The sequence below is a fragment of the Homo sapiens genome, chromosome 4 (assembly GCF_000001405.40).
Source record: "Homo sapiens chromosome 4, GRCh38.p14 Primary Assembly".
In the NCBI taxonomy this organism is placed as follows: domain Eukaryota; kingdom Metazoa; phylum Chordata; class Mammalia; order Primates; family Hominidae; genus Homo; species Homo sapiens.
In genome coordinates this window covers 178,122,709-178,136,580 of record NC_000004.12, presented here as the reverse complement: position 1 = coordinate 178,136,580, position 13,872 = coordinate 178,122,709, and positions in this window count along the sequence as shown.

Sequence of the window (13,872 nt, the reverse complement as noted above, 5' to 3'; positions counted from 1 at the left end):
CAGCCTACTCCTGACTGAAGCCCAGCCATTTTCCTTACACTTGTTTTTTTTTTTTTTTTTTTTTTTTTTTTTAATAATCAACTTTTGGTTTCATTCATCACCAATCTATTCACAATAGCAAAGGCATAGAATTAACCTAGGTGCCCATTAATGGTGGATTTGATAAAGCATACGTAGTTCATATACACCATGGAATACAACAGAGCCAGAAAAAGAATGAAACAATGTCCTCTGCAGCACAAAAACATGGATAGAGCAGGGGGCCACAGTCCTAAGCAAATTAATGTAGGAAGAGAAAATCAAATACTGCATCTTCTCACTTTTAGGTGTGACCTAAACATTGAGCACACATGGACACAAATAAGAAAATGGTAGACACTGTGGATTACTGGAGGGTTGGAGATAGGGAGGTAGGTTGAAAAACTACCTATTGGGTACTATGTTCATTACTTGGGTGTAATTTACCCATGTAACAAATCTGCACAAGCATCCCTGTATCTAAAATAAAAGTTGAAGTTTTAAAAAAGGCAAGTCTTCCAAAATTATATCCTAAAACAGTCTGAGTTGTAACCAAAAGTAAAATACTTTAAATACAAGTTACCAATTTTTCACTGTTATTTTTACAAATTATTAAAGCATGATCCTTAAAAAATATATATAGTAACAGAATGTTTAAAGTCAGAGGATCACACCAACTCACAAGCACTCACTCCATCTTCTAGTGATGGTTATAATTAGCTTTCATAAAGCAAAATATCATGTTATACCATATAAATATATGATTATTATTTTTAATTAAAAATTTAAAAAATAGAATTTACTGTATATTTTGGATAACAATCTTTATTTGATATGTCTTATAAATATTGTCTTTTCATCTGTGGCTTGCCTTCTAATTATCTGGACAGTGTCTTTCATACAGCAGAAAATTTTAACTTTATTGAAGTCCAGCTTACTAGTTCTTTGTTTCATGGATTATGCCTGTGGTGTACAATTATGAAGTCTAAGATCATGTAGATATTTTTCGGTTATATTCTTAGGAGTTTTTAAAAGTTTTGTGTTTAACTTTAGATATGTGATTTATTTTAAATTAAATTTTGTGAAGTTTCTATGTCTAAATTCATTTATTTTTGCATGTGGATGTTCGGTTGTTCTAGAACTATTTGTTGGAAAAACTATCTTTGCCCCATTGTATTGTCTTTGCCCCTTTGTCATAGATCTGTTGACAATATTACATGCTCCCATTTCTGGGCTCTTTATTCTCTTCCATTGATGTATTTGTCTATTCTTTCGTCAAAACTGCACTGTCATGATTATTGTAGCCTTATAATATGTCTTTAAGTCAGTAATGGCAGTCCTCCAATTTTGTCCTTCTCCTTGACTGTTGTGTTGGCTATTCTGGATCTTATTTCTCTCCATGTAAGCTTTCCAAGAAGTGTGTCCATATCCACAAAATAACTTGGAATTTGATTAGGGTTTCATTGAATCTATAGATCAAGCTGAGAATAACTGACACCTGTCCAATATTGGTCTCCATTTATTTAGTCCTTTGATTTCTTTCATCAGAGTTTTATAGTTTTTCTCATATAGGTCATATCTATCTATAGATAGATAGATAGATAGATAGATAGATAGATAGATAGATAGATGATAGATGATAGATAGATAGATGATAGATAGATAGATAGGGTTATACCTAAGTAGTACTTTTTTATTGCTAATCTGTTTTTAATTTCAAATTTTATTTGTTTATGTACCTTATTTTTAACCTTATATTTTTGTAATGCTTTTGAATGAAGGAGCTGAAGAAGAAATTGCATAAATATGCCTAACCCTATTTCGTACAGAGAGCACCTTAAAACAGTTAGTGAGAAAAGAAAGGGAGAAAATGATTGTCAACTTCCTAGCTGCTGACAGATGTCAACTAATCCACAGATAAAGACTAGACCAGAGTCATCAAGCCTGGGGTTTATAGCCACCAACATAAGGCAAATCCATCTCCTACCTACTGTGCATGTGGCAACACCAAAACTGAGAAGGGAGAGGTGGTACATCTCTTTCTCTGGTGGATCTTATACAACACATGAATCTCCTTTAAAACAAAAACTGTGGAAGTATATTCACTGTCGCCAACCCTGTTCTCCCATTTTTTCTTAAACCAATTTAAATCAGGCACTCTCCTCCTTTCTTGTTTCATTTGTACTACTCTCCTCATTTCTTCTGATTCCTGATTCCTGATCTTTCTCCACCCTTATGATATTATTATATCAATCCTCGAGTCTGTTATTTTCTCTGTCTTTACTCGTACCGTCATTAATAGCTTCCTGCCTTGTGTTTTTAAATCACTTGTATAGCTAATTATTAAACTCCAACATCTAATTGCGTATCTGGCTTCACTTAAATATCTAGTAGACACCTCAAACTGAACAAATCCAGGGCTGAATTCTGGATCCCCCTCCCCATATTTATTTCATTATAAGACCTTTTTGTCTGAGGGACTCTCTATTTCTAGTTGCTCAGGCCACAATAGGGATTTCCTTTTTTATGTATTTCCTTCATTTCCCACAAGCACTGTAGAAAGAAATTCTTTATGAAGGATCTACTTTGAAAAATATCCAAAATTTAGCCAATTCTTTATTGCTACAATCCTACTCTTAGCCAAGACAATCTCTCATCAGAAGTACTGCATGCAGCCATTCTGTTCACCACAGATCTGTTGGATCGGGTCTTTTAATACTATAGTTATTACATTTATATAATCACACCATTGTTCTCCTCAAAAGCCTCCAGTGCTTCCTGCTACTGTTGGACTACAATTCAAAGTCCTTACAATGACCTCATTACAGTTCTGACGTTATTCTTTCCAATTGCACCCCTTCTCTCACTCTTCTCCGGCCACACTATCCTTTTTTGTTCTTTCTAGACTATACTAGGTGCACACTCACATACCTGACAGCCTTTGCTCTGGCTGTGTGCTCTGCATGAAATGCTCTTTCCTCTAGATATGAAAAGGGGTCTCTTTTCAACCTTCTTCAAGTCTTTATTCAAGTAACACTTTCTCAATTTCTTTCCCAAACCTTCACATATAAAATTTAAACTCTTGCTCTCTACCCTTCATTACTGTTCTTTTTGTTTATTTCTCTCAAAGCATTTATCATATTAAAAAGAGATAGCATTATGTACTTAAGTACAATGTGCATGGTTTATTTTATTCCTTCTCCAGCTATAGTGTGAAATTCAAGAAGGCAGAAATGCTTGCTTCTTTTTTTTTTAATCAGTTCCAGGTGCCAAAGACATACTGAATATTCAGTAAGTATATGTTGAATTCATCAGTTAATCAATCAATATCTACTCATTTATATTCTTATAATATATGAATCAAATGTTTATAAAAAGTAATTATATGGCCTACCATAGGAAAAATCTCAATAAATTTTACCATAGGGAAAATCTCAATAAATTTTCAAAGCTAAGAACTATCATATTCTCTGTTCATAATGAAAAAATAAAAGCTGTCTCTTTAAAGTAGAAGAAAAAAAATAAACTCCACAAATTAGGGCATTTTAAAAGTTTCTCCAAAACAACTGTTTGGGAAGAATGAAAAAATAAATAAAAATAATGATAATAAAAACCAATCCTTAAGTTCAGCACCCAGGGATTTTTAGTAAGCATTAAATTTAGTAAGTTAAAAAGAGAAATGGACTGAGTTTAATAAATATAACTGCAGAAATAACTTATATTACTGAGGAAAATTAGATTTAACAAACAAAGTAAGGAGTTAGATTTTTGAAAAATATAATTAAAAGATAGTGAGCTGTTATAAGCAATAAAATCACAAGAAGGTAAAGATACAAATTTATAAATTGTTTATGAAAATAGAACAGAGAGAAAGCTGTAAATAGCTAAAAGAATATTTTAATCAAATTCAAAAACCTCTATGGAATTGATTTTTATAAAAATGCAATGGCTGCCACCAACTCTCAGAGACATACATAAAATCTCAATAGACCAATTATTATAAAATAATTATAAAAGTTGTCAAAGTCTAAGCACTTAATAAAGATAATTCCCAGAAAATTTCACAGTTTAATTATCTAATCTAAAAAGAACAAATTATTCTAATAGTATTTAAACTTTTCTAGAGAATAAAGAAAGAAAAATTTCAAACTCTTCTATAAAGCTAGAATTATACTAATCTGTATTTTGGGATGAAGCATATTTAAAAGAAAATGATTAGATAAATTTGCTATAAGACATGGTGTTTCTGATCATGAATAAATGTGATTTTGAAAGATTTCTGCAACTTCCATGAAACATTTTTTCAAAGCCAAAACACCTCTAACCTGTCAAAGTACAAATAACTGGAGGAAAAAATGCGACATAATGTAAAAGAACACTAATACAACATTTGCAGAGTAGATATGTAATAGAATCCTATTTATTTGTAACATTAGGTAATTACATTGAAATTCCATAGGCAAATATGTAGTTAAAACACCTATGACAGTATGAATAACAGCACAATTTAAAGTAGCTAATAACTGGCAATAACCAAATTGTCTATCAATAATAGTATAGATAAATACTTGTGGTATATTCTTAAAATGTAATGCTATACAAAGACATAAATGAATTATTGCTAGTTCTAATAGCATGAACACATTTCTCAAATTTAAGATTAAGTACGATTATATCTATATGAAGTTAAAAATTAAGCAATAAAAATTATTGTGTTAGAAGCAGAATAGGGCTAATCATGGAATAAAGGATGGTGGTAGTGACTGGACATTTGCCTAAAGGATTTTTCTGTATTAATGATAATTTTTAGTTTTTGATAATCATTTCATGATAATTTATTAATATAAATTATTGATTTAACTACTAATTTACTTTACTGATATAAATTACATGCAAATTTCTTGATATAAATTATCATGAAGTAAACATATTTGTGCAACCAAACAGATCAAAAACTGAAAAATAATTATTAATCTAGAAACTCATAAATACTTTTTCTAAACATAAGTAGATTTTGTATGAAGAAAGCATTCTGAACATGCACATGGCATAATTAGTAAATACGCTTTCAAAGATATGTAAGAAAGTGACCGAAGTCCACCATCTTGGTTCCTTTCCCACTTACTCCATCTAGTATCCCAGTTTCTTGTAAGGTTTATTATTTTACTTCCCACTTCATGTACTTTCCTCTCTTTGTATCCTGCTCAAATTCCTTAAGGGCATGAGCTGTAGACACAGATTGCCAGGGTTGGAGATTTAAGTCTATCCTTTAAAAGTGCTTACGCATTAGTCAAATTTCCTAACCCTTCTATGCCTCAGTGTCCTCACTGATAAAAATGGGAAAATTATAATATCTGCCTCACAGGGCTGTTATGATATTTCAATGAGTGAATAATTGTAAATAACTTAGAATAGTGCCTGGTATATGGTAAGGCCATACAAGTTACTGATATATAAAAATCTATTTTGTAATCACACCCAAACAAATACCCTAAAAATTTTCACCACTTTTATCTCATCACGTGCATTTTCTAAAATAACAACTCTCAATAAATTTAATTATTCAATTTCTCAAGGTCCATACAAGTGCAGCTGAGGGTAGGTAGCATGCACACACACACACACACACACACACAAAAGAGCACATAAACTCACAAACAAGCACGTTTGTGGAGTAATGTCACTTTGGACATATGATTACTAAATTTACTGGGCTATTGGATTTTTAGACAACCATATTTAACTTCATTCATTCTACTTGTCTCTGAAATGTCTGTCTCCTTATATTACCTTCTTTCTTCAAAATCCTTGACTATCTCATTTCCTACACTCACACTCCACTGCCTACTTTTTCCCCCTGTGAGAAAACAAAATAACCTATATAAGAAATTCTGCAAATCTGCACCTTCCACTCATGTGTGCCTGCACAAGCTATTCTCCTCTTAGACAGCTGAACTCTCCTTGCTCCTAGCTAAGGACAATATTTTCTTTTTTGCATTAAACTATACCTTCTTTTGGATAGTCAGAGACAAATGAATTTGGCAATTCTTTTATCTCATGTGTCAATATTTTTTCCTCTATTACATACCATTCTATTCAGCATAGAAGTACCCAGTTATTTCTTTTCCATATTAGATATGACACAAAGCAAAACAACTCCCCTCCCTTCTCCATGTCTTCATTCTAGCTCGTTGAAAATATGTTTTTCTCTATTCTTTCTTGAATTCATCCAATCAGATTTTTCACCCCTCAACTCTTCCAAGATCCCCAATATCTTCCATCTTAATAATTAGAATCATTAATTCCAAGTCCTGATCTTATTTAGGCCACTAATAACATTGGGCATTCCATCCTTTTGGAAACACTCCCTTTATTTGCTTATGTTACAACAGCATCACTTGATTTTTGTGTTCATTGGCTGTTTGTCCAAAGTCGGTTTTTGTCATTTATTTTTCTCTAACAAAGCAAGCATTTAAATGGTGAACAGATCCAGGCAAAGCCCAGTCATCTTACTGTTTTTCTTTTATATACGTATACAAAATCCTTAGCTGATCTTAACTATTCTCACAGCTTTAAATCCCAATATGGTGATAAATCCCAAGTTTATTTATCCTGTATAGTTTTCTCCTCTGAGATAGAATCCATATTCCGTACTCGCTACTCAAAGTGTCCTCTTTGATGTATAGTAGACACATCACATTCAACACATCCAAAAGTAATCTCTCGAAATATCTGCACAAACTAGCTTTACCACAGTCTTTCCCATTTCAGTAAAGTCAGAACTTCTCAGTTACTCTGATCAAAATATCTTGGAGTTATCCTTAACGATTTTACTTATTTAATTTTTTGTGAGATAAGGTCTTGCTTTGTTGCCCAGGCTGGAGTGCAGGGGTGCGATCATATCTCACCACAATCTGAAACTCCTGGGTTCAGGTAATCCTCCCTCATCAGCCTCCTCAGTAGCTGGGAATATGGAAATCCTTAATTATTTTTTTCTCACATTTGTCAGGTGGCTCACGCCTGTAATCCCCGCACTTTGGGAGGCTGAGGCGGGAGGATCACGAAGTCAGGAGACCAAGACCATCCTGGCTAACAGGGTGAAACCCCGCCTCTACTAAAAATACAAAAAAAAAAAAAATATCCCGGTGTGGTAGCGGGCGCCTGTAGTCCCAGCTACTCGGGAGGCTGAGGCAGGAGAATGGCGTGAACCCGGGAGGTGGAGCTTGCAGTGAGCCGAGATCGCACCGCTGCACTCCAGCCTGGGCAACAGTGTGAGACTCTGTCTCAAAAAAAAAAAAAAGAAAAAAAAGAAAAAGAAAAAGAAAGACAGATATTTTATTGGTTCAACATTGAAAAGCATCCAGAAATAAACAGGCTTTCTGTATCTCCAACCCATTCCCCAGGGTCAACATCCTTGACATCTGTTTACCACCATGTTCGGGACGGCCTCCTAACTGTACTTCCAGCTTCGGATCTCACTCCACTTCACTCTATTTTTAACATGGCAGAAAGAGTAATTCTATTAAAATATAAGACACATTATTTCGCTTCCCTCCTAAAATACCTGCACTAACCACTGATTTTGCTCAGATTGAATGGCAAATTCCTTACAATAGCTTACCAAATTCTATAAGAACTGTCCATCTCTGTGACTGCATCTTCCGTGTATTCTCCCTTTTGATCACTCCTCTCCAGTTCCATTGGTCTCTTCATTATTGCTCAAACACAGTAGGCACAATTCTATCTCAGGGTCTTTGTTCTTAATGACCCCTCTACCTGGAATGCTCTCCTGCATACACACATCTACCCAGATTATCACAGATGACCCCTCAAATCTTTTTAAATATACTCCCCTGGTCAAATCCAACAGTCTCTCTCTTGAAACTTCAATTATTTTTACCTTTACTTTTTCTCCTATAAATTCATATGTTTTACTCATTTATGTTTGTGTTGTTCTACTTGCCAACTAGAATGTGAGCTAAATGAGTGATATAATGGTAGCAACTAGGAAAATACCTGCCATCTAGTGAGCTCTAGTATCAGCCTGTGTCATGGGTAACAAGAAATGGAACGCACACCTAAATTATTATTCCTTGAAGGGCCAAATAGAGGGAATAAAAGAGTGATACAGAGAAAGCCATTTCAGTGGAGTTGTGGCTTAAGTACTAGGTCATGAGGGAAATTCTGCAATGAGGGAGTCAGGAGAGAATACATCATTTGACTGCACTCTCTTTCCCTCTCTGATGACATAACCGAACTTACAATCTCCCATTTTCAACCAGAAGGTGAATAACTAGGGAGCTCTTTGATGCAATAGAGGGAGATCTAGAGAAGCAAATTGAAAATATCTAGCACAGCATTCAATAAATAATGTTGATGAATGCTTCAGTGAATGTCTGGGTAAATGCCTTATGATACACAATTAACCCTATTTCCCTAGATGTGGAATTTCTAAGCACAAGGAAATTTATATATTAATTCTTCATATGAATGTCACAGCATGGCATTCTAAAAATAACGAAAGCAAAACACCACTATTCTACCAACAGTTTTCCCACTTAACTAACCATATTTTTGACATTGTGCTAGTTTCCTACTCCTGTTGTAACTAATTACCACAAAAGGTGATTCTGCAGAACAGTTCTCAAATGATGATCACTGGGAATTGGAATATAAACACACCAGTTTCCTCATCTCTCAAGCAAACTACTCTTAGATATGATCTAAATCATTTCCTGTAAGTCCTCACAGGGTCTAAGAGTCTATTGTTCAGAATGGCGATATGCTTATTAATGTAAACTGTATACCTTTCCTGTTCTTCCATGTTTCACTTGCCCTCTTCCTATAGGTGCCTTTTCAGATTGCTCCCAAATTGCATTCAAATTTTCTGTCTCAAAACCCACTTTTGTGGGACTCCAATATAGGACATACCTGTAATAGTGAAAAGAATAACTCTCATTTGAAAGTGCATACTGTGTGGAGCCTTGACCCCTTGACCAGCATGATGGGTTAATAGTCACATATTAAGGTTTTCCCTAATAATTTTACTTCCATTATTCTGACATGACAGAGTGTGTGTGTGTGTGTGTGTGTGTGAGAGAGAGAGAGAGAGAGAGTGAAAAGTAGGGATGGAGAAAGAGATTTTTAAAAATTACTTACACAATGTTTTATATGTTTATATTTATGTGTATGGTAATGTAGACTAATAAATGAAGAAATTTGCTCCTGCTAGTTCAGTGCTATAGAATGAGAATAACACTGAGAATGTAAGGCACTGCACTCTCATCTTGGTTCTACCATGGTGTTCCTCTTAGACTAAGCAAGTTATATTAATTCAGAGTTTTTCAAACCAAAAAAGTGCATATACTACTCTGGAAGTAAACTTAATCCTCTCAATCCCACCTTTTCAGATTATTTAAAACTTAAAGGAAAATATTACATATGAATCACATCAAAGTAATTAAAACTTCATAAAGAAACACAATCTTGTAGACTCTGAACCTACTTTTAAGATGATTAAATCTCAATAATTTGGACACAGTTTTCTTCGGTAATCAGTCAACATTTTGGTAAATTCTGGACTCATTTTAAAAAATTATTCTATTATATCCTATGCCATAATGGCTGCTATAAATACATAGAAATAGAACATAACAAAATATTCATTTGCTGTATAATTTATAATATGTCATATAGTTTACATAGAGGTAGTATTATTGCATATAGTCACATATTTACACCAACAGCTTAATATCTTAAAACAATTATCATTAATTGAAAAATCGTTACTTAGACGTGATTCAAAAGATACCTGGTTCATTATGCCAATATACCATCTTTTCTCTCTTAAATTCTTTCTTCTTCAGTCATTTGAGTGTATGTTGATTAACTATAACAATTACTTTTAAATGTATTAGGACTTAAAATTGCTTTATTGAATAACTAAACATATTGTTTTCACAAGAGAAATACAATGTTTAACTAATGCAAATGTAAATGTATGTGAAAATTCTCTAGTCTATTGTCTAATTCAGCTGAAGAATTTTGGTCAATTTAAGTTGAAATCTATCACTAATTAAATAGAATTTTTATCTCTGAAATGATAGAACATAGAGAAAGTGTCTTTAATCAACCGACCAGAAGCAGGTTTACTTCTTTTTTTTCCCCAAACTATTGTTAATCAGATCAAAGAGACTTGATATATCTTTGATTAAAGACAGAATAGTTCTTTGCAGATAACTAGTTTACCTTTTGAAGATTCTTAAGCTCATAAGTTAATAATTAAAGAATTGTGGACAAGTATCAATTCTTCATAAAAAGATATGTAAAATATGAACAGCATTAAAAATATATAGGTACAGGAATATGATGTTTAGCTTTCTTAAATTAAACTTGGCTTATATTTGTGTGTGATACAATAATAAAATAAATTAACTTGGCTCTAAATGTATTATTTCCAGGAGATAAACAAAAAATAATTTTCTTCATGTAATGCTTCCCTAATCTTTGATAGATATTTTCTTCACTTTAATAGTTTCTATATCCTTGTCTTTGGAAAACTGATTAAAAGGATGGAAGATATTGAACTTATGATTATATGTATCTAGAGATATATGTGTGTTCAACTGCTAAGTATAAACATGTATATATATATAGATGCATTTAAACAGTCCATTCATTCCATATTTATTCTTAAGGGAGCTATGAGTAAAGCATTAATTAAAAACCTGTTTATTTCTAATAAAATGAAATTTATGACTATGATTCAGGTAATAATTAATTTAGATTTACTATACCCATGATTTAATCTAGATAACCAATCATTGTGTACTATCATGTAAACAGTACTACATTCTAACACAAATCCATCAATTGACACAAAATATGTAAGGCAGCTATGTGTACTTCATGAATTGATTACATTATACCTCAATTTACAGCATCACACTTAAACTCTATTTTGTATTTTGTAGAGAAAAACATCACTTCATTTTACTCCTGATAATTCCTAGTGAAGTATGTTTCGTTTGAATGCTTGGTGTCTCTGAAACAATAGCCTTGCAGATTAAGCAAATAGCACTTTAGTGCAGCTGTTCTCTTACAACTATACGTTTGCATTTTAAAAGCCTTAAATTAATTGAACAGTAGTGATTTAGCTTTGAAAATATGGAGTAAAATCAGATCATTAACAAAGTTGTAAAAAAGAGAAATGTTTGCATTGAGGATTTATAATTCCACTGGAGTCAGGCTACCAGTTAATTTCCTATTTTGTAGACTCTGGACCTATCTTTAAGATGTTTAAAGACACTAGAGAGTAATAAAGAAAAAGTAATATCTAGGTACACTATGCAGTCTGCTTTGGAAAAACATTTACACAAACAAGAAATAGTGTGAGCCTTCCATGTTATCTGAGGACATAGAAATTATAGAAAAACACTGTGGGCTATTAGCAAAAGAAAAGAAAGTTTTAAAAAATTAATTTATCTAATTTATAACTTTCAACAAATGATTTAAACAGCCTACATGAAACTATTTATCATGGCTTTCTGCCAACAAAAGCAACACATACCCATATAAGTGATTTTCCTGGTGTCCTAATGTGCACATCCTGGGGGTAGTGAGGACTGAGGCCCATGACTAATGTGGGAATATAAAAGCCAGACCCTTTGTATGGAGACATAACAATCGTGAAGAGCCATTCAAACTACAGGTATACCTGTAAAATCAGGCTGAGCCACACCTCTTTGTTCAACTTCCTTTTCTATTTGGTTTTGCTTCTATTACCTCCTTGCATGATAGCACTTCCTTAATAAATAATTCATACAGGAACTTCTTCTTCTGTCCCTGATTCTAGGGAACCAAGACCTAAGAAGATCCAGAGGATGAAATTAAACATTTAAAGTATACATATTATAGAATGGCCTCTAAAGTAAACTATGCCTAATTATTTTAAGAATATTCTTTATAGTTTTATTTCCATGTATCAATAAATATGTGGATATTATTTCTTTCAACATTGCATTATACTGCCCTTACTGCTTAAGAACATGATTCCGATGAAGTTATTTTTCTCAAAATAACTATTTCGTTTAAGAGTAGCCTTAGATTTATAGAAAAATTCTGAAGATACTACAGATCCACATTTAACATCTATTGTTAACATATTACTAACATAATTTTGATATTACTCTAGGTACTTCAGCAGTTTTAAAATTCATGTTAACATGGCATTTCTTTCTATATTCCTTTACTTTTAACCCATCTGTGTCTTTATATTTAAAGTGGATTTCTCGTAGACAATATAGAATTGGTTCATAATTTGTATGTGCTATAACAATCTCTGTCTTTTAACTGGCATATTTAGACCATTCACATTTATAGTGTTTGTAACTGATACATATTCATTGCGTTTGCTTTTGTTTCTTTTCTCTCTTTTTCTGCCCTCTGGGGTTTTAATTTCACATTTTATATGATTCCATTTCATTTCCTCTCTTAACATTATATTTTTATTTCCCTTTTTTTAGCTGTTGCCCTACAGTTATAATTTACATTTTAAATAATCTAAGTCCACCCTTAAGTGATATTATACCACTTCCCATGTACTGCAGATACCATGTGATAGAATATTACCAATTCCTCCCCACTATCTTTTGTGACATTACTGTCATTCATTTCACTTATCCATATGCTATCATTACTTAGTACATTCTTATTATTAATGCCTTAAACAAACAGTAGTTATTTGTACATTCTTACTTATTAATGTTGTAAACAAACACTAGTTGTTTTAGGTCAACTAAACAGCTAGTGTTTGTTTAGTTCAGGAATAAGAAAAATAAAGGATTTTATTTCATTTAATTCATTTCCAAAGGTCTTCCTTTCTCTATGTACCTGAGTTTCTGACCTACATAATTTTCCTTATGTCTAAAAAACTTATCATCTCCTTCAGGGAAAGATTACTGGTAATGAATTTATTCATTTTTTCCTTGAGAAAGGCTTTATCCTTCTGTTTTGAAGAATAATTTCACTGGATATACAATTATAAATTGTTGGGGTTTTTTTCTTTTAATGTGATAAATAATTCATTCCACTCTCTCATTGCTTTGCGTGACTTATAGCAAGAAATTCCCTGTAATTCCTATTTCTGTTCTGTAGGTGACATGCCTACCATCCCTTACCTCCCCTGTCTTTCAAAATTTTCTCTTTGTTTCTTGTTTTCTAAGTTTTGAAAACAATATATCCTTGGTGTGGCATTTATGTTTCTTTGTTTCTTATATTTATCCTGCATGGTGTTCTCTGAGCTTACTGAATTTGTTGTTTGGTGTTTGTCATTAATTTTAAAATGGTCTCGGCCATTATTACTTCAAATATTTCCTCCAGATTGTTCTTTGCTTTTCCTTCTGGTATTACAGTGATGATATATTATACCTTTTATTGGACTACAGTTCTTAGATACACTGTTTTTTTGTTGTTATTTGTTTTTTTCTCTCTTTTACATTTATTTGGGGAGGAAATTTTTATTCGATTATTTTAAATTAAATTCTTTCTTTTCTCAGCTATGTTGAGTTTATTGATAAGCCCTCAAAGGTATTCTTCATTTCTATTACAGTGTTTTAAATTTCCAGCATTTTCTTACCATTTTTCTTTAGAATTTCACCTTTCTACTTACATTGCTCATTCACTCATGCATATTGAATTATTTTTTCTACTAAATCATTTAACATATTCATAATAGTTATTTTAAATTCTCTACTGATAATTCTAACATGAGTGTCATATCTGAATCTGGTTCAGATGCTTGTTTTGCTCTTCAGACTATGTTCTCTCTTGCTTTTGTCATGCCTTCCAACTTGG